The sequence below is a fragment of the Homo sapiens genome, chromosome 2, assembly GCF_000001405.40.
Source record: "Homo sapiens chromosome 2, GRCh38.p14 Primary Assembly".
NCBI classification, from domain to species: domain Eukaryota; kingdom Metazoa; phylum Chordata; class Mammalia; order Primates; family Hominidae; genus Homo; species Homo sapiens.
Window position 1 is genome coordinate 41,699,123 of NC_000002.12, and position 22,746 is coordinate 41,721,868.

Here is a 22,746-nt window from a genome sequence, read left to right on the forward strand (position 1 = left end):
AGCCAAACACTCTTTTTAGCCTGACAGCAAACGGCTAGTGGGAATCCATGTGCAAGGGAACTCTGTGTGAGGAAAACAGAGAGGGAGGGGAGCGAGGAGGAGTCTATGAGCTGGTGGCTGGGAAAATCTGCTGCACCGGTGAATCCAGTTGTCATTGTCAGGACCTTCAAGGCTTTTTGGCCATGACTCTAAGAACAAAACCTCCCCAAATCCCTTTTAAATACAGTGGGGTCCATTCCTCCCTACATATTTTCTTTTCCTACAAGCACAGCGAGCGTATCTAAGGGCGGGGAGGGCTTCCAGCTTGAGCACATAGCGCCATTATTTGACGAGAGCACAGGAAGCAGCCTTCATTTTAAAAGAATTTCAGTCTTTAACTTTCATTCACTCACAGCATGAAAATAAATCACTGTGCTTGAGCATTTTAAAAATTAAAGGCTTAGATATTACATGTTACTCAAAGGCTCCTATCTTCAAATACCTATTTCCATTAGCTATTACGGTTTTTAACTTTTCTTTTTCATTATCTTGTATTCGCTTCATGAGGCATTATGTAGATGCAGCAGACTGAAATGATTTTCTCTCATTCCAAACTAAAGATGATGATGAACTCCATTCCTCTGGGGTAAGTTTGGAATAAAAAGATGGGTTACAGAATACTGGAGGTAAAAGTCAGGGATCGATCTGGTGACTTGACTCTCATATATATAAGGTTCAACAACTCAATAATAAATAAATTTAAATCATTCCCTGATTCTACTTTCCAAAGGAAGACACTGAATGATTCACTGAAAGATTCTCACTTGCCCAAATCTCCAGTTTCTTAGTAAGGGAAGGTAACATGGAATTTCTTAACCTTTGTCTAGTTTTCAGATTGTCTACATCATTCACTGCATCGACCTCCTGTCTTCTGCTTTCTCATGCAGAATTGAAACATATATACCTCATCCCCAGGAGGTCTCGTTTACTTCCGTGACTTCAAGCACACCTGAGGGCCAATGATGCCCAGGTCTGCATCCTCAGTTCTGAACACTCACCCGAGGTCTAGACCCACCTCTCTAGCTGCACACTAAATATTTTCTCCCTGAATGTCCCATAAGCACCGGAAGCTCATTGTGTCTAATCTCAAGTCTTGGCCACCCTGGCCCCAACTTCCAAACATGCTCTTCTCTCATATAATGGCCCCAGTTAATGGGAAGACTATTCACACAATTGTGTAAATCCAAACCCCAAATGTCACCTGACACCCCAATGCTTCCTGTATGATATTGATCACGAAGTTCTCTCAGGTCTACTACCTTTGTCTCCAGCTATACTGACACTTCAGCCCTTTCCAAATGGACTGCTGAAATAGTATTGCAACTATCTACTTTTCCCCATATTCAATGATCTCTTTTTCATCCTTCACATGCAAAAATGTAAAACGGATCATATCCTTGACAGCAAAATTCTGTATGCTAAATTGGACTTCATCAAAATTTAAAACTTCTGCCCTGCAAAAGACCCTGTTAAGAGAATGAAAAGATAAACCATAGACTGGGAGAAAGTATTCACAAATCACACATCTGACAGAGGGCTTGTATCTAGAATATATAAATAACTCTCAATGCTTACAATTATAAAAACAAACAATCCAACCTAAAAACGGCCAAAGGACATTCACAGGCATTGCAGAGAAGAAGATACACAGATGGCAAAGAAGCACATGAAAAGGTGTTTAACACCATTTGCCATCAGAAAAATGCAAATTAAGACTACCATGAGATATAACTACACCTATCAGAATGACTAAAATTAAGAAAAAATTGGTAACATCAAGTTCAGGAGAGGATGTAGAGAAACCGAATCACAGGTGAGAATGTAAAATGGTAGAACCACTCTGGAAAATAGTTTGGCATTTTCTTTTAAAACTAAAAATAGACTTACCATACAACCCAGCAATTGAACTCTTGAGCATACGTCCCAGAGTAATGAAAATGCATTTTCACAAAGAAATTTGCACATGGATGTCATAACTTTATTTGTAATAGCCAAAAACTACCCAAATGCCCTTCAATATGTGACTGGTTAAACTGTAGAGCATCCGTGCCATGAAATACAACTCAGCAATAAAAAGGAATGAACTCTTGATCCACACAACAACCTGGATGAGCCTCAAGGAAGTTATGCTAAGTGGAAAATGCCACTGTCAAAGAATATATACTGCATGATTCCATTTATGTAACATTTTTGAAATGACCTAATTATAGAGGTAAAGAACCATTAGTGGTTGACAGGGGTTAAGGATGGGGCAGGAAATGGGTGTAGCTATAAGAGGGTAACACAAGCGAGTCTTGTGGTGACGAAAGAGTTACATAACCTGATTATGATAGTGGTTATATGATACTACACATATAAGAAAATTGCATGGAGTCCAGGCACAGTGGCTCACGCCTGTAATCCCAGCACTTTGAGAGGTCATGTTAGGAGGATGGCTTGAGGCCAGGAGTTCAAGACCAGCCTGGGCAACATAGCAAGACCCTATCTCTACAAAAAAATTATATAAAAAAGAAAAAGAGAATTGCACGAAGCTGCACACACACATACACATGATATAAATGAGTGCATATATTTACCTGCCAGATCTAAATAAGCCCTATGGATTATATCAAAGTTAATTTCCTGTTTTTTACATACTACAGTTATGCAACATGTTCACATTAAGAAAGGTTGGGTAAAGAGTGCATGACACCTCCTTGTGCATTTCCTTACATCTTCCTGTAAATGTGTAATTATTTTTAAATAAAGTTCTTAACTGATCATGCCACTCCTTTCTTGCAGTTATTTTTAGCTCTCATTATTCATAGAATAAAACACATTCATCTACTCATAACATAAAGTGTCCTCCATTCTGGTTAATAGTCTTTATCGACTATGCTAAAATGTCCACCATTTTTTAGACAATGTTGGCCTTTACTTCTAGGATTATAGAAAATATATCCATGCAACCTGAAATTTCTCAAATTTGCCAGAGTTGGACATTCTAAGCATATTCAACAGTCATTTAGTAAATCATTGCCTGTCGAAGCCAGATTAATCTATCAAATAGTTATCCTTTCTGGATACCATAGTTTTTATACAATTTCTCTAAAAGGAAAGGAAAGATGAGGTACTGTGGTAGGGGCAATAGCTGAGTAAGAGCTGTGATAGCACACAAAGCAAAAGAAAGGGTAAAAGGAGTCCACAGATGTAGAAAATCCCCCTTTGCTGATGAATTTGCTCATTTTATAAGCCCAGTGTATTCGCTTCCTAAAGCTGCAGTAACAAGTACCACAAGCTAGGTAGCTAAAACAACAGAACTGTATCACAACCCTGAAGTCCAAATCAAGGTGTCGGCATAGGTTGTTCCTTCTGGGGGCTGTGGGAAAGAATCCGTTCCATGGCCCTCTCCTAGCTTCCAGTAGTTTGCTGGCAATCTTTGGCATTTCCTGGCTTGTAGAAGCATCGTCCCAACCTCCACCTTCTTCTTCACATGTTATCCCTCCCTGTGTGTGTCTCTCTGTCCAAATTTCTCCTTTTTAGAAGGATGCCAGTCATTTTGGATTAGGGGCCACCCTGCTATGGTATGACCTCACCTTAATTACATCTGCAACAACTGTATTTCCAAATATGATTACATTCTAAGGTTCGGAGAGTTAGGATGTCAACATAACATCCTAATTATGATGGAAATTTTGGGGGGATGTAATTCAACCCATAACACCCAGGGAGCTCTAGTAGCCAAGAAAACTCCCATCCTTCTTCTGTTTGAATGAATACAATAGCTAAACGTCAATACCATTACCTGTATTAGAGGGCGCACAGGGCCTGATGTGGAAACTGGCTAGGAATTACTGTGAAGATCCTTATGCTCATCATGTGAGAAGACATTTAACAAGCATCTGAGTGTGCCTGACACTCTAGTAGCAGATATTTGACAGCTTGCCAAATACGCAGGTCAGATCATTCTACAATCAAGCTGCTAATCATATTCTAGTGTATACAGTTGACTCTCCTTGGCTCAGAGTCATAAATTATCTATAAGATTTTTCATGGTGAAAAAAATACTTTTGCAAACAAATCGTAGTTGGTGAATAATTAATTTAACTTTTATAAGAGCCAACTTGCTTAATCCAGACATTGTAACCAATTGTGACCAGGTGTTGTGATAAGTAAGGAATGTGGCTATTCACACACTGCCTAGGAATTGTTTAGCGACTCTTTGGGGTGGCAAGGTGTCATGCCAGACTCCTATTAGCTTCAATAGGGGTGGCACCAGGTTCAAGTGGGCAAAGAAGAGACCTGGAGCCAGTAAATGAGACCTAGAGTTTTATCAGGGGTAATTTACATAGAGGGGTGGTCCAGTGGCAGCAGGCTGAACAGGAGAACCATAGCCACTTGCAAAAAGCATGCAGTTGATATAGCATTTTCACTTAACACCCTTCCCCTAACAACTTCCACCTGGCAACCTTCATTTAACCCAAAACAAAGGGCCTCAATCCACTATACGGCCCTCATTCCATGAGACAGGGGCTCAGATATTCCTCGTACGTGAGGAATAAATATCTGCCTTAGCCACCCCCAGATTCCTTAGCTCAGAACTCTGAACACTCATTCAGTTGCATCTGCCATACAGGGTCCTTCTCAAGGTATGCTTAAGTTATTGCTGTCAGGTGTTGTCTGCCATGCAAAAGGGAGAATAAAATAGACTCTCTCCAAAGTAATCCTCTGTACAATCCTTCATTCCAACAACCTAACCCTTTCAAAGTAGGTGAATCAATCTAAACAGTTCCTGGGCACCCTATTTGAAATTATTATCAGATAATTCCTGATATCTGATACCTTCTGGAACTTGGCACATCAGTCTGAACCTCCAATTTAATATCCTGTCTGTGTGTAAGCATGCATATAAAATGTATGCATATAAAATGTATACATATATGTATCACATTACAGTGATAACATAGAATCTCATGGTTAAGAGACACAAAGTATACAGAATTATCACTTACATGCCCACATTATATCAACAAGAACAAGAACAAGGCCTAGATTCCCTTCAATACCTGCCTTCCTCCATTTCTGCGCATACAAATATATGCATATATGTATATGTATGCCTATAAAATGGATACGTACAGATAAAATTATGCAAACACACATATAAACATGGCCATTGCATTTTCATTTAATCTATGAAGCAAATGTAAATCTTTTTTTAATTAATTAGCACTCAAATTTTGTGTCAATATTTGATGGGAGACTGACTGGTTCCCATCTCTGTCTTTTCGCTGAATTCTTCTTTATCCTTCTGTCAGCTTTATGGTTCTAGAAGAATGCACTCCATATTCACTAACCATAAAGTTTGGTAACTTAACAAGGTATAAGTTTCTCCCAAAAGCCAGGTCAATTAAAAGCTGCAATGTGTTATTGTATCAGCCAGAAAACTTTATGTAAACTGGAATTTCTGATCTTTCTAATAAATACTGCGAATCTAGAAGCACTTGGCCAAAATATATTACCCTTAGCAAACTAACGCAGGAACAGAAAAGCAAATACTGCATGTTCTCACTTATACGTGGAAGCTAAAAAAGAACTTATGAACACAAAGAAGGAAACAACAGACACTGGGGGCTACATGAGGGTGAAAGTGGGAGGGGAGAGGGGAGCAGAAAAGGGAACTATTGGGTACTGGGCTTAATACCTGGGTGACGAAATAATACGTACAACAAACCCCCCATAACACGTGTTTACCTATGTAACAAACCTTCACATGTACCCCCAAACCTAAAATACAAGTTTAAAAAAAGAAAGAAACCACTTAGCCAGAATAGACCTTCATGGATTTTTCTTTAGTAACAATGCTTTAATTGAGAAAAAAAAAAGGTTTCTGATTGCAATTATAACACTACTTTTTATATTGTGAAGGTCTTAAGAAGAGGGAAGGAGAGATTGCAAGCCAGGTTGATGGGGCTGGTAAGGGCTTCACAATGAACCCAGTCAACTGCAAGATCAGTCCAGCCTCCTGCCCACCACTCCTGCTTTCCCCACCTGGGTATGCTGGTAGCAAACATAACTTGTGCTATTGATCTCTACAGTCGTTTTAAAGTTCTTTTTAACTTTCAAAATTTCAATCCTGATTGATGTTTTATAAAACCATTGGTTTTAATCACTGTGATTCGAAACACTTCTGTATGTTCCTTGCCCTTGCTTAAGTACTTCAATGATGGTTGAAATGAGCAAAACTAAAAAGGAAGACACTAAAAGAATCTAGAACAGGCTTCTTCAAATAGAGGAAATGATAATGTCGTTCCTCATTTAGCTATTTCTCTTGGTTCTACTTAAGACCACATTATTAAGCCTACTTAAATAAATGAGATTTGGCATGAAATTTATAAAATACTTAAAACAGTAGAAGAAGTTGTATAAATTTAAAAAGAACCAGAAAGCATCTCTTAAGGTTACAATTAAATATTTGAAATTCAAATGCATCTTGATATACCCCAAAAAAGCAATCGCTTTCTAATTATGCACATTACTGTGATTACATAGAATCTCGTGGTTAACAGGCACAAAGCACTCAGAATAATCACTTACATACTTACATTATATAAACAAGAACAAGCACAAGACCTAGATTCCTTTCTATACCTGTCCTCCTCCTTATCTCAGCCAGTGATTAACGCAGCACTCTGAGCTTGTGCTCATAATAGATACTTGCAATGGTTACGTGCTTCTCTCTCTCTGCCCCTCATAGTCAGGAGGCAAATGTTAAAGTCATGTCTTGACCAGAAGAGTTCTACAACCAAATTAGTGTTGTTGTAATAGAAAACATTTTGCCAGATCTAAAGCATTGGGTGAGGAAGATAAAAATGTACTTTCATAAACTTTTTTTTTAATTCAACAAACATCTGAGCTCCAATTGCACGCCAGGTCTTTTACTGGGTTCCGGAATTATAAAAATAAATAGGACATGACCTCATATATGGAGAAATACCATTGTCATGGTCATGAAATTCAGAAGGCATCAATGAAGGTAGTTTTGTAAACATCTAAGAGAATGGCTTTTTATTAAAAAAACTGATTAAGAGAGATCTGTTTTACCATTTATTTCTTTCCATGCAGATTTCTCTGTAGCAATCATGGGCTGCAGACTGAGTCATCTATTTTCCACTGCATTTGATATAGAATTATCTGTGCTTTTTAGAAACACCCTTCACCTACTCCAGAAGTTTAAATTTGTATCAAGATGTTACATAAAACATCCATTCATTTAGGACAGAGTACGAGTGAAAAATTAGAATACAGGGAGGTTTTGTGGGAAGGTGTCATATGAGAAAGAACTTGGCTGATATACAGTAAACAGACTCCAGAGATGACAGGAAGTTACATTCCAAGGAAAGGAAAGAGAATCATGTGAATTACATCATTGTGTCATGCATGGTATAGCCCTGTCATGGATCCCGGAGCCCACTGAGAGCTCCTTGAGGAAAGAAGGAAGCAAACAGGCCCAAGTTAGGAAAGGGATTGAAAAACCATCAGGAAAGAAGGGATTGCCAAGTGAGGGGCTCAAGTCCAAATCTTAATTCTGCAGAGCAGGCTGGCATTAATGCCCAAGCGATCCAATCTGAGGGAAGTGACATGGATTCTTTGCACCTATGTGGATGTCCAAGTCACAGAGGAAGATGGTCTAAGTCTGTGAAAAAGATAATGAGTGGGAACAATTTTGTATTTTAGCCATGGAAACCCACACACATTCCAGATTATGAGAATCAGGAAGAGTTTCCCTCCTCTGAGTGGGATTGAACCACTCAGTGGAGGGGCGGACCCAAGTTGCTCAAGCTGTTCGAGATGAAACCAAGAAAAAGTTTAGGAAAGGGGCATGACGGCATTAGTATGTACAAGTAATTGACCAAGTACGTGTGAAAAAAACAGCAGCCATTGTCGAAGTGATGATGTTATCACTAACATCATCATCATCATCATCATCACTAATGCTTACAGAACATCTACTAGTTCTTAGGCACTGCTGAAACCACTTTACATAATACAACTCACTTAAACCTCACAACTCTATTAATATCTTTTTCACAGAGGAGGAGACTGAGGCACACACAGGTTAAGTAACTTGCTCAGGATCACTACCGAAAACATAGTAGATCAGGATTCAAACCTCAGCCGTCTCACTCCACAGTCTCTGTGTGAAACCCCATAACCTGCCATGGTCCCCCCATATACTAACAGCATCATTTGTCTTGACTTCACTGTCACATCCTTCCTCTAATCTTTATGCCTGTATCCCCTGGATCTCTGCCTCCTGCTGCCACTTAGGCTAGCAAACAGTACTTTGCACACATTAATGAAACCGTATAACTTGTATTCTGCAGCCAAAGGAACCAGAAGGGGCCCAAGGCAGGGCTGCAAAAGTATTGTCAGCTAGACTGAGAGTCCACCAGCTGAATGACTAGCACAAGCCCAGTTTTTCTTTCTATGTGCTATAGATGCAGTAAAATTGCAACAAGGGAGGTAAACAGGGTCTGCAATCAAACAGATGAACACTTTGTCAGTGAACATACCACACTCTCTTCAACACTGTCAAACTACTGTCCTACTTGCTAGATGTAGTAGTCTACTAGGGATGCCGTAACAAAATACCCAACTGGGAGACTGAAACAATGGACATTTATTTCTTACAGTTCTGGAGGCTGGAAGTCCAAGATCAAGATGTCAGAAGGTTTGGTTTTTCTTGAGACCTCTCTCCTCGGCTTGCAGATGGCCATGTTTTCACCGTGTCCTTACATGGTCTTTCCCCTGCGTGCGTGCCTCTCTGGTGTTTCTTCCTCTTCTTCGAGGGACACCAGCTCTATCAGATGACAGCCCACCCACAAGACCTCTTTAAGTATCTCTTTAAGGCCTTATCTCCAAATACAGTTACACTGGGGGCTAGGGCTTCAATGTATCAATTTTGAGTAAAGACAATTCAGTCCGTAACACTGGAGTTAAGCTGTGCGACTTCAGAGCTTATAAACCGAAGGCTGCTTTTCACGGATGGTTGAAGACTTCTCTAGAGAGAGAGCCCTGGGTGAGTCTGTTCTGCATCAAGGAACTCAGAGGCTGAGATACTCACACAGGCTCTCCAGCCATACTCATAGATCCAGGACACAGGGTAAGTCTGGGGCCTAGGAGTACACTTCTGCCACAAATCCAAATACAATATAAGAGCTCTCCAGCAATCTCCTGCGTGCCTTTCCATATAAATAAACTACATTATAATACTACTCTAGTGATGCAAGTATTCCTTACAGGGAAAGGAATACTAGTTTCCGTCTCTTACAACAGCACTGACTGTTATATTTTATAAAATGGTACAGGAATGTAGCATAAAAATATGGGGAAAAATCTGGTCCCCACACTCATGAATTTTATAGTTTATCAGGGAATATGGTCATAGTGATCTTCTCTAGCACATCCTCTTGCAACTAGCAGAGGAAAAAAGCATACATCTGGTGCTTGATCCAAAACAATATCAAAGAAATTGTACTGCTCGCAAATGCAAAGCACTTTTTTTAACGCCTATTTTAGGTTCAGGGGTAAATGTGCAGGTTTGTTATATAGGTAAACTCACGTTACGGGGGCTGTTGTACAGATTATTTCATCACCCAGGTACTAAGCCTCATACCTAATAGATGCTTTTTCTGCTCCTTTCCCTCCTCCCACACTCTACCCTCAAGTAGGCCCCAGGGTCTGTTGTTCCCGTCTGTATGCATCCGTGTGTTCTCATCATTTAGCACCCACTTATAAGAGAGAACAAGCAGTATTTGGTTTTCTGTTCCTGTGTTAGTTTGCTAAGGACAATGGCCTCCAACTCCATCCATGTTGCTGCAAGGAACATGATATCATCCTTTTTGAGCTGCAGATTATGCCACAATGTATATGTACCACATTTGCTTTATCCAGTCTATATTCATGGGCATTTAGGTTGATTCCATGTCTTTGCTATTGTGAACAGTGCTGCAATGAACATTCACATCATATGTCTTTATGGTAGAATGATTTATATTCTTTTGGGTAAATACTCAGTAATGAGATTGCTGGGTCGAATGGTAGTTCTGTTTTTATCTCTTTGAAGAATCACCACACAGTTTTCCACAATGGATGAATTAATTTGCACTCCCACCAACAGTGTATAAGTGTTCCCTTTTCTCTGCAACCTTGCCAGCATCTGTTATTTTTTGACTTTTTATTAATAGCCATTCTGACTGGTGTGAGATGAGTATCTCATTGCGGCTTTGATTTGCATTTCTCTAATGATCAGTGATATTGAGCTTTTTGTCATATGCTTGTATGTCTTTTTTTGAAAAGTGCCTGTGTCCTTTGTCCACTTTTTAATCGGGTTGTTTGTATTTTTCTTGAAAATTTGTTTAAGCTCCTTATAGATGCTGGATATTAGACCTTTATCAGATGCACAGTTTGCAAATATTTTCTCCCATTCTTAGGTTTTCTGTTTACTCTGCTGATAGTTTCTTTTGCTAGCAAAGCACATTTTTCTCTTTGCACAATAAAGGTAAACTTTTTGATAGGCTTCCACTTTTATAAGCCTAGAAAAGGAGCAGAGATTTTTAAATGTCATTTAATTGTTTAAAATGGCATGCTCCCTGTATTTTACAGGTTTTCTACTTTGGCTTTTTCTCACAAGGGTTCCTTAAAACCTAGCTGCAGTGGACAGCAGCTTGACACAGGAAGGATGGCAGAGAGCGCACACAAGGTACCCTACAAAGCCAAGCATGCAATGCAAACAAGCCTCTTATCGTGAGGAATATGCAGCTCGCTCTCCATTTTCATTTATCCGAGATCAATCACCGAGCCCTTGAAGGTCACTGGAGATAAGTGGTGGCAATGCTGTGGCATGTTTTCCTTTGAGCAGGACACCGAAACAAGCAAAATGTCTTTAAGATTCAAGAGTAGACCTAAAGCACAAAAAGTCCCTTAGGGCCAACAGCAAATAGGTTAGCCATGGGGAAAATGTTGGTAATAAATTATACATGTAGTTAAATGAAAAAGCTAAAGGGTAATGCAAATTTAAGGTTGAAAAACGGAACTCAGAATTGTTAGGGAATTCCCAACTTTACATTCCATATTAGTTTAGCAATGTGACTAACCTGTAGGAAATATTTAGCAATACAGCCCATTTTATAAAAGTGAATCATCCTAACTAATTTAATTTTTCTGAGCCAGATTCCTTTTAACTCACCTGCTCGGCGCTAGCCTGTGGAGTTTGGAGTCTCCCCTTTTCAAACCATTCGTCACACACTTCTGCCAGAGCAGTCTTTCAAAAGAGTGTGACCAATCACATTACTTCAGAGATGCCACTGACACATACAACACTTTTGAGCAAATTAGAAAAATGGCACCTCCTTCTCAAGCTAAAAGGAAAAAATACACATCCATGTATATGTGTGTGTATGAGTTAGTGTATGAATGCACAACTTGAACAGCCCTGCCTTTCTCACCTAGTCACACATCCTTAGCACGCTTAGAAGCAAACATCGCTGGTGGCATGCACAGAAGATGTCTTTATGCATGTGCATGCACACACACAAACACACAAACACACACACACACACACACTCCAACCCCAAGGTGAGATGCCATGGGAGATTCACAGTGGGGTAGGGGTGGAAATTAGACCACCAACAGCAGCAGAAAGAGCAACCTCAGGGAATGCAGAGCACTGGCAGTACTGGGAGTACTGGGCATGTGAGTGGGTGTGTGAGGGCTTCTATTGGGAGAGTCTCTCCTGCAACTGTAGTACTCGCCTGAAACCCCTGAATCTTCACCCCTGCTCACCTGCTCTTGAATCAGTTACTACAGTGGCTCTCAAAATGTGGTAAGGGGCCTTAGCGATTCTCCATTGTGCTTTTAAGATACCTCAAGGTCAAAACTATTTTCAGAATATTTAGACATGTTTTTCCACTGTCTCTCCTGAGTGTACAGTAAAAATTTTTTGATGTTACACAATGTGCGATGACCTCATCACTCTAAGGGCTAATGGAATGCATGCTCCTATGTTATAAAATTTTCAGTGTTAATTCTAATACAGTAAATAGCAAAAGATATAACCTATCTAAACAAAAGCTCTTGGAAATCCTCAATCATTTCTAGGAATGTAAAGGAGTCTTGATATCAAAAAGTGTGTGAACCACTGAGTTAGCGTATGTCTACACTGCAACTGGCACCCCCTGAGATGCAGCAGCCACATGTGGTGGTCATGATCACTCCCCTGCTCAAAGCTTGTACTGGTTCAGAAGTAGGGAGGCAATGTGGAATCATTCTGGTTTTAGAGACAGACCTATGTGCAAACCCCAGTTGGACCGCTTACTAGTTATGTGACTAAGACAAGTTACTTAATCTTTCTACATATGGAAACCTATCAGAGCTGAGAACCGGATTTTACATCCTCCCCATTCTTCATCTATAACTATTGATTCTCAACCAAAAGAAACATACCCACAAAAAAATCAATAGTCAAATGAGAAATAAGTACTAATTTTATCAATAGTTGGGCAAATGCCCAAAACCCAACTCTTGAATTGGAAAATGAGGCCATGAGTTCAAGCTAGGCTTCCTCCTCCTGATTCTCTGAAATCTAGAATGATCAGCTTTCTGAGTAGACTCCTAGTCTATTTACAAGCTGCCTGGACAGCAAGCCCAACTGGTCTTACCCACGCAAGTACAGAGAAGACACACATGGTTGCACACTGCAGTCAGAAAAGGCGCAAAGGTCAGCAGAAAGAATTTCAGAGTCCTGCAATTCTGTCCCCTGGAGAAGTATGACACAAGGAACACTTCAGATACTGACCTATGATATTAGCTATGTTCCAACTGGGAGTGATGAGTAACTGGTTAGTGGCAAAAATATCACCATAGCAATGGAAGGATCTTTTATTCTCTTTAACTATAACAACTACAGGACCTGGCACACATCAGTCACTCAGGAAGTCATCATCAGTAGGTGCATATGCTGGAATTAATAAGAAAAGAGTCTGAAAAATCAGAGACCCAAAAGTTTTATAGTCTCTGTTTTCTGCTCTTATTTATGGGAGCATAGGAGACATTGGAAGCTATGAAGACCACCTTCTTCCAAAGCAAGTTTCCCTCTGTAGCATTCCTCCAGCCTCGGTGCACTCGAAGACATGGGGTGCTCAGCAGTCTTGGAGGCTTCCAATTCAGTTGAATGACAGTTCTTTTTTACTTGAAAGTTCTACCACAATATCCAACACCATGGTCACTTTCATGATATGCAAAGAAAATCATGGCTTCCAAATTGTTTGGCTAAGAAAAGGGATTACTGTCTTCTGTTATTAGCATGGTCTTAGGATTGTCACTGAAGAGTCAGGAAAAGAGGGGAAATATATAGAATTCATTCAAATACATGTAAGTCCCAGCCCTGTCAGTAAGAGAAGAGGAGAAAAAGAATTAAGGATGGACTCTAACCTTAAATTAGTTCACTGACTACCATCTCATCATAAAACAACTTGGGTAGGAGTTACAGAATTTTATTTACCAAGATCAAGCAATAAAGGTGCAATACGTCACACAAGAATTAAGAAGGCCTTAATTTGAACTCCTGGGACCTAGGTTGCAAAACAATTGGAATTTACATATCAGATCCTTGGGCAAATAATATATTTAATCATATATTTTATTTAATCTAGTATATCCAACATATTATCATTTCAACACAGCCGTAAAGATAAACCTCCCTTAACGTCTGCAGCTCCTACTCTTGCCCCAACCCCAAATCTCTGGTCAATTAGCCCTCTCAGCCAGTTGAAAAGTAACCCTAATTCACTCAGGATGGTAACCCTGTCCTCAGTGGGTGAAGGCCTTTTAATGCCAAGAATATTGGGAGATAAATAGAGGTGATAAAATAAATAAATCCATGGTATCAATATTTTTAAGTGGCTTAAGGAATCTGATACATCAAAGCATCTGGCAGATTAGTCTGATCATCCCAATTTATATATAAATAATTGATTTTTAGATATGATTTTAAGTTAAAAGATATAAATGATTTGCTTATGTTTGTATATACTATTAGAATATATCAAAGAACTTGAGATTTACAATATTTATAAACGTACTAAATTAACTAGAGCATTTTAGGTACTTACAGATGAATAACTTGTTAAGTGTTTGGCTCTTCAGAAAAGCAAGTCCATTAAAGTTTAAAATGTTTAAGGGAGCAAAATTAATCAAGTTAATTAATAAACTCTTTTAAAGTGATTGGTAACATTTACTGGATTTATAAATAGTAATTATGAGTTGAGTAATCATTGTTCAATTGAAAATATTTTTAGTTGGTAATTTTAATACACCAAATTCTGATTTAGAAAACAAAAATAACTGCAAATACACTTCTCTGTGAACGTCAGCCCCAGTGCCACTAAAATTCACATGACCTCTCTGACCCTGTGTTTCCTTTGATTCTGGGGTCTCAGCATTTGATCTCTGCAGAACAATAATCCTGATCCGTAAGAGTTAGCTTTTCAGAAGGAGGAAAAATCATTTACACATCAAATGTGAATCTACTTCCTTACTATATTTAATCTCCAGGAATGGACTCATAAAATAATAAAAGCCCCAGTTCAAATTAGTATCTGGTATTTCATTCCATTATCAAAAACCATGACCACATAATCTACTGGTTGGTAGAAAGGGAAGTCCTTCTCTGTTTAGACTTGAGCTCTGTGTAGATCAAGTTATGGTTGTCTGGATTGCCATCTGTATTAATCAAAATTAATACACAGAGGTTCTCTCACTCCATGTACATTTAATTTTTTAGAAAGGCTAAAACACATGGTTGCAGAATCAAATATAAATATTTACAACTGGAGTCCAATATAATCAGAGCTGATGGAAGATGGAACTTAGACAGAGGAAGGAAATGTATAGAATGTGGTAGGAATGGTAACATCCTAAAATGAGGGGTTAAGACATATAATTGAGATATTATTGAAGCTAAAGAACCAGAAACAAAGCTTCAAGGACATTATTTAAAGTTATAAAAGTAACTGGCTGGGTGCAGTGGCTCGCACCTGTAATACCAGCACTTTGGGAGGCAGAGGCATGCGGATCACCTGATGTCAGGAGTTCGAGACCAGCCTGGCCAACATGGTGAAACCCAGTCTCTACTAAAAATACAAAAAATTACCCAGGCTTTGTGGCAGGCACCTGTAATCCCAGCTACTTGGGAGGCTGAGACAGGAGAATCTCTTGAATCTGGAGGCAGAGGTTGTAGTAAGCCAAGATCACGCCATTGCACTCCAGCCTGGGCAACAAGAGTCAAACTCCGCCTCAAAAAAATAAATAAATAAATAAATAAATAAAAATAAAGTTATAAAAGTAGCCAATAAAAGAACTAAAATTATAAGTATAAATTATGTATAATACAAATACATGTATATATCTAAAAGCATTAGAAAGAAAACATGAGGAGAGAGCTGTGTGTAAGCAACCTTTTTTTCCTATCAAAGACGAAATACATGTTATTACATAATATATATCTAAATAACTACACACTATATATTATAAATCAAGAAATATTACCTGGAGGGCCACTGTGCAATATAGTGGCCACCAATCACATGTGGGTGTTGGGCACTTAAATTGTCATCTGCTGCAAGTTTAAAATATACAACCAATTTCAAAAACAACATAAAAATGAAAACTATCTCATTAATAATCTTTATATTATGTGTTGAAATAATATATTGGATATACTAGGTTAAATTAAATATATTATTAAAATTCGTTTTATATGTGTACTTTTACTTTTTTGGTGTGCCTGTAATTTAAAATGGTATATATGGCTCACATTAGATTTCCATTGGACAGGACTAATCTAGAGTTTTGGCACTAAACATCAGCACTAAAAATACAAGTAGTTACAAGAAGTGGCCTCCAGGAACCAGAACTGAGGGAAGAAGCTACACGGGACTGGAGCCAGTTGCTTTTCTCAGAAACCCTTCTGTAATATTTGAATCATTATCTTAAGCATACCTTTCTTTGCAAATTTAAAAAGATTAAAATGTCATAAATGTAGAAAGCAAATAAGGCCATAAAGGTAAAAATAATAATAATAATAATTGTGATGAGAGGGCAGGAGACGGGGTGGGAGGGAATATGGCTGTGATGGACATCATCCACGTGCAGGACAGAATCACAGAGGCCACCCTGTAGGTCAGCCTGGCAGCATTCAGCGTCCTTGTGGGCTGGCCCATGTCAGTAGCTTTCACGAACAAAACACAGTCACCCAGGCCAGGTGCAGTGGCTCACACCTGTAATCCCAGCACTTTGGGAGGCCGAGGCGGGCGGATCACGAGGTCAGGAGATCAAGACCATCCCGGCTAAAACGGTGAAACCCCGTCTGTACTAAAAATACAAAAAATTAGCCGGGCGTAGTGGCGGGCGCCTGTAGTCCCAGCTACTCGGGAGGCTGAGGCAGTAGAATGGCGTGAACCTGGGAGGCGGAGCTTGCAGTGAGCCGAGATCCCGCCACTGCACTCCAGCCTGGGCGACAGAGCGACACTCTGTCTCAAAAAAAAAAAAAAAAAAAAAAAACCACACACACAGAGTCACCCAGTCTCATTTCAGTTTCAGTTTCATCTTTGTCAGGCCCAGCCTTGGTCTCCAGTCCTGACTCTTATAATGACCTTTCTCTCCACCCCACGGCCCAATAGTCACATCTTCCACATTGTCCTAGAAATCATGTCATTTCCAATTTCTAGAAGGTCCTTGGCATCCAAAGCAATTCTGGGGTCCTGAGTCAACATCTTCCTCCTATAACCTCTTTCTCTTTTTCCTGTTTTTCCAAAAGGAAACCAATGCTCCTAAAAGTATTTTCTTAAGCAAGCTCTCAGTTGCAGAGAGCTCTGAGTCCCTAACATTTGGACCTTTTACTGTTTTCTCACATGTTAAACACTGTATCCCAATGTCTAAAATAGTAAGAAGGTCAATCCACACAGAAAATGCATTCGTGCAGTAAAAATTTATGAATGCCTACGGGTGCTGAGCACTGATCCAGGGAGCGGTACTCCAGGTAATATTTCTTGATTTATAATACATAGTGTGTAGTTATTAGATATATTATGTAATAACATGTATTTTCCTCTTTGACAAGGGATGGCAATGAACAAGACATCATCTGCTCTCTTAGAACTTACCTTTAGTGGGAGAGACAGATAAAAAGTAAACAAATATATACATAACTTTAAGTAATACATGCTTTTTATATTTTTATAATTTCATCAGAAAAATATGTAGATTAATGAGAGAGAGGGTGACGGGGTGAGGGGCAGAGGTGTCTATTTTAGAGATTTCTTACTGAGAAAGTGTGATTGGAGGGGACACTGAATGGAAAGGACCTAGCTACGCAAAAACCTGTAAGGAAGGTAAGTAACATTCCAAGTAAAGGGTGGCAGTGTCACAGGGCTTCAGATGGGAACGGACTCAGAGTATACAAAAGCTGCACGAAGGCAGGTGGGGCTGAGAAGAGCAGGTGAGGAGCAGAGCGGAGCCAGAGAGGCACAGAGGCAGCCTGCAACTGAGGGAGGGCTCTGTGGGCCCTGGTGAGGACTAGATTTTATTCCAAATACCACGGACTCTAGCAGGTTTGGAGCAAGGAGTGAATTGGCAGGACTTTTGATTTACTGACTGGTTTTCTTTCAGAACTATAAGTAATTAGTAAAATAAGTAAATTTTTTTTAAAAACCCTCCCCTTTTTTCCTTCTTTACTTTCAAAGTTAATTAAATAACAAGCATTAAGCCAGGCACAGTGGCTCATGTCTGTAATCCCAGAGTTTTGGGAGGCCAAAGTGGGATAATCACTTGAGGCCAGGAGTTCAAGACCACCCTGGGCAACATAGCGAAACCCTGTCTCTACAAAAATAAAAATTAGCTGGGCATGGTGATGTGCACCTGTAGTCCCAGCTACTCAGGAGGCTACAGTGGGAGGATGCTTGAGCCCAGGAGTTCAAGGCTGCAGTGAGCTAGGATTGTGCCACTGAGACCCTATCTCTAAAACAAAAAGTAGTAAAAAATAGGAATTATTAAATCAGAATTCATTATTCAGAATAAATTTTGAATTACCCTGGATCAACAAACAGACAGCTGACACTTATAGGACTGTCATTTTTCACTGCTGTATGCCCTTTGCAGGGGAACTTGGGTTTCGTACCTAATGTTTTCCAACTTAAGTTTTTACTGAGCCCTTTCTACAGAGCAGTACTGTGCTAGGCACTTGTTTACATGACCCCATCTCATTCGCAAAACATCCCTGTGATTAGTAAAATTACCCCAGTCCATATTTGAAGAAACAAATGCAGAGATGAAACTACTTGTCTCAGATTTTATGTCAATAAATGGCAGAGCCTAGATGCACACAGCTTTTCTGATGCAAAGCTCCACGCCACACTGTTTTTTATAGCCCTCTTATCAGCCATAATAGGTTTTTCTAGCATTTTAAAGGACAAATATCGAAATGAATCATCTATTTCGAGTTAAATAGTGGTTAATTGTCATCAGTTCCTGACAGTAAGTTAGAGATTCAGCAACGTAGGATAATTTGCTTGCAATTATGCAATTTGGTAGTGGCCAAGCTGGGATAATTATTAGATTTTCCCAAATGCTCCCATTGTTATTCAAGCCCATCTTTGAAAATTCAAAAGCAGAAAGACATAAATTAAACCTAAGGAGGAACCTGAGTTTCAAAGGAATAAAGGTTAATGAAGCTGTAGATATGCTCACACAAAAAGCAGTTGCATCCACAAAAATAAGAATATTCAAAGTGTGAGGCTAAAGCAGAGATGTGGGAGAGCGTATTATGAAGTAGAGGCAGCAACTGGGTGGGTGGATGGACATGCATGAACAGGAAGCCTGGTACCATGCCAGGCTAGTACCTCAATTCAACTGAGTAATCAAGGTTCCTACAGATTAGTCATTACAAACTGTTCACCAGGACAAACTGTGCTTTAAATTGATTGCATGCTTATCTTGTGTTTTACCTGTAATTTTTCAACAAGATTTGTGTCATATTGACCAGAGTATATCAATCTTGAAAAAGCTGATAAAAAAGTGTATTTTTATTAAGATTTATAAAAATAATATATTGCATATCACGACTGCTCATACAACTCTGTTGAAGCATTGCCACTGAGGTAAATGGAGAGAAAAATTCTATTACAATACTACATGCTTTACTGCACTAATATTTTCCCGTTGATTTTAAGCTGTATTGAAAAGCAAACTGGACCCTTCAGGAGTCATTTGTTGTAGCATTTGAAAAAAGCATTGATTTTAACATGGGGGCATATAATCAAGTTTCAGAAACATTCACATTGAGATGAGCTTTGAAAGGTTATTTGTCAGTGTTTCATTTGTCCAACCTCTGAATATTAAATTTTTAAGTCTTTCTCCCTTATCCTCTATCTCATGTCTAAAGTAATTTCCTTTAGAATTATGTCATTATTTTAAAATTGCCAACTTACCATGTTTCTTATTTCATCTTTCACATACAGAATTAAAATAACTAATAAGGTGAAGAAATATGGAGAATTTTTTAATTGCTTAAATTATAATGGTTTTGATGACAAAAATAATTATGGAATAATTAAGAATTTTAAATGACCCAAGGATTAAGTCTCCATGCATCTTTTGACATTGTCGTCATCAACACAAAGGGAAAGCAAGTGTGAAAGATTGCACAATGGGTTTTGTGACATGGCCTCAAACCAACTGCAAAGAATGAGAACTGCAGTCTTCCTCTTGCCCAGGAAAAGGAAATGGAATTTATTAATATCTAGCAAGTTTCTAACACAAAAACTAAATTAATAGAATTTACACAATAGTAAAGTGCTCAGATTCCCTTTTATTACTTATAAAAGTAGTTCAATGTTTCATCCCACAATCCATTTGTCTGTGTATAGTTTATTTTAACCTTATGAAGAAAACTCAGGGACAATGGCACAAAAGAAAAGTCTTTGCTAATGACATTCTGAGAGAAAAGTAAACCTCTCAATCTATGGTTCAACTCATCTCAGGAAGCAGTTTTTTAAAAGCCGATGAAGGCCAGGCACAGTGGCTCACACCTGTAATCCCAGCACTTTGGGAGGCCAAGACAGGCAGATCACTTGAGCTCAGTCACTTGAGACCAGCCCGGGCAACATGGTGAGAACCTGTCTCTACAAAAAATTCAAAAATTATTGGGCATGGTGACACATACCTGTAGTCCCAGCTACTTGGTGGGCTGAGGTGGGAGTATGGCTTGAGCCCTGGGGGTGGAGGTTTCAGTGAGCCAAGAATGTGCCACTGTACTCCAGCCTGGACAGAAGAGCGAGACCCTATCTCAAAAAAAAGAAAAAAAGCTGATGAAGATAAGGTTCTGGACACACTAAACTTACCTAGTACCAAGTCAAGTCCAACCACAGACAGACAGTCCCCACCCCTATCCACAACTCCCATTCTATAGTTAAATTTAGGGAACAGCATCCTCAATGTTCACCTATGCTGCTGCAGCCAAGTCCAAGGCCAATTGGAACATCTAGGAAAAAAACTAAAATATATGCTGACCATTTCCTCAAATCTATCATATCCCTGGATTCACTTAGCAGAAAGCAGAGGCAGCACAACCTGGTACCAACAACAAGACTGTGCATGGTATGCACAAAAGAGCTTCTAATTTCTACCCTGGGGCCTACTTTCAGATCACGTCAGTGCCTTTGCCCACACTATAACACTGCACTGTGAAGAATGGAATTCAGTAGTTAATTACAACTTTTATAATAAAATGTGCAATGCCATAATGGGCATGCTGCCTCTTCAAGTAATGCGTCCCCCCTCACCAGAAGCGTCCAAATCGAGAGAGCGTGACTGTCTGATAGAACGCTATAAAGGGCCTCATTATGGTGTGTGAAGGTTAAATGATACCCAGAGTACCATTCAATGCTCAGATTTCAAGGCTCCGTGCATTTAAATTTATCTGCTGTAAAAAAAAAAAAAAAGAAAATTAAGGGTGCTTATTTACCAAGCCATACCTCCAGCTCTGCACCATCAGTATCCTTGGTTCAACAATTACGTAGGAAAAGCACAAAACAAACAAATCAAAACTTGATTATAAACTACAAATTAAATGAGTGTTTTGTTTCTCTTTCTTCAGATTGTTTGACCAGCTACCACTTTCTTGTAAATAAACAAATCCAGAATATTCCATTTAAGTTATTTTCAACTCAAAATAACATTCTATTTTGCCACCCAAGGGGAAGTAGAAGGTTAGTTATAGAGAGACATGGAAATGAAAACTGAAAGTACAAGTGTGGTGAGCTATAGTTCTGAAGGCATGGTTTTTTAAATTATGCTTAAACTTGCAAAATTACTGATTTTTTTAAACCTGTGTATATAATTATACCTAGAGTACGATAGATTGAATCATCAGGTTTTTAATGATTAAACCAGGTTAAAACTAGAAATAATAGAAAAGCTTGATCTGAAATAAAAGGACCAGCAGCCTCAGAAGGCTAGGGACTACATCTTGTTAGCATTATTGGAGTTAATAATTCCAGGAGGACAAAACATAACCATGACTCTCAAACTTAATGTTTCTTGCTGACTATACTCTGCATGTTGCAGTTTAAAATGCTTGTTTCTTATCTAGCAAAACATCTGCTTTTTGGTGCTAAAAGCAGGATCCTGAGGGACGTAGTGATCTTTCCCAAGGCAACTTGATTAATAGTGGCTTCCAAATTTTGGTTAGAAGACATTTTGATGAAAGCAGCAGTACTGAGTAATTGTTTCCACAAATTATCTTGATATACATTTCCTTTCTCTCCAGAATCTTAGGCAGTGGGATCTGGAGATGCACTGTTTTTCTTCTCCATAGCTCCTGCTCCTGTAGTTATCTACAAAGTTAGCGGTGTTTGCTGAACACCCACACATCTGAGCTCTGTGCTGCAAAACATCCGCATCCACTGGTCCCTGGGAGTTTGTGAAGAAAAATCATCGGAATGTGGAGAAATAATAAACAAATGAACAAAATGTGTAAAACGAGGACTAAAATGTTTACCCCGAGGAGTTAATCTTATTGCAATAAAGTAGAAGAGAAAGAATAAAACTGTGTTCTCAAATACACAGATGTGGGCGATTGGGGGCTGGACAAGAATAATAAGCATAATAAAAATTATCATTGAGGGTGAATAATCTTTATGCAAGATGAGTAGAAAGTGCTTCAAGGACAAACAGGGTTACTGGTTTGTTTTATAAATATTAAAATTTAAGGATGAGCATGGTGGCTCATGCCTGTAATCCCAGCACTTTGGGAGGCCAAGGCAGGCAGATCACTTGAGGCCAGGAGTTTGAGACCAACCTGGCCAACACGATGAAACCCCATCTCTACTAAAAATGCAAAAATTAGCTGGGTGTGGAGGCAGGCACCTGTAATCCCAGACACTCGGGAGGCTGAGGCACAAGAATCACTTGAACCCGGGAGGTGGAGATTGCAGTGAGCTGAGATCATGCCACTGCACTCCAGCCTGGGCAATAGAGGGAGACTCTGTCTGAAACATAAACAAATAAATATTAAAATTTTATTAAAGTTTTATTAAGAAAATAAATGTAAACTATCCTATGGCCCTTATTTGTGGAACTTTTCAGGAGGTCATAGTGCTTATTATATAC

The 22,746-nt window shown here is 39.1% G+C and overlaps 2 annotated features.

Moving 5' to 3' along the window:
• Positions 10,627–11,826: an enhancer, noted in NCBI's record as "P300/CBP strongly-dependent group 1 enhancer chr2:41936889-41938088 (GRCh37/hg19 assembly coordinates)". NCBI's record gives its function as "activates an origin of replication core promoter dependent on BRD2, BRD4, P300/CBP, MED14 and CDK7 cofactors, with strong dependence on P300/CBP, by STARR-seq in HCT116 cells {active_cell/tissue: HCT116}" and the evidence as "EXISTENCE:reporter gene assay evidence [ECO:0000049][PMID:35650434]".
• Positions 16,707–16,816: an enhancer, noted in NCBI's record as "active region_15624". NCBI's record gives its function as "activates an Ori minimal core promoter by ATAC-STARR-seq in GM12878 lymphoblastoid cells {active_cell/tissue: GM12878}" and the evidence as "EXISTENCE:reporter gene assay evidence [ECO:0000049][PMID:35858748]".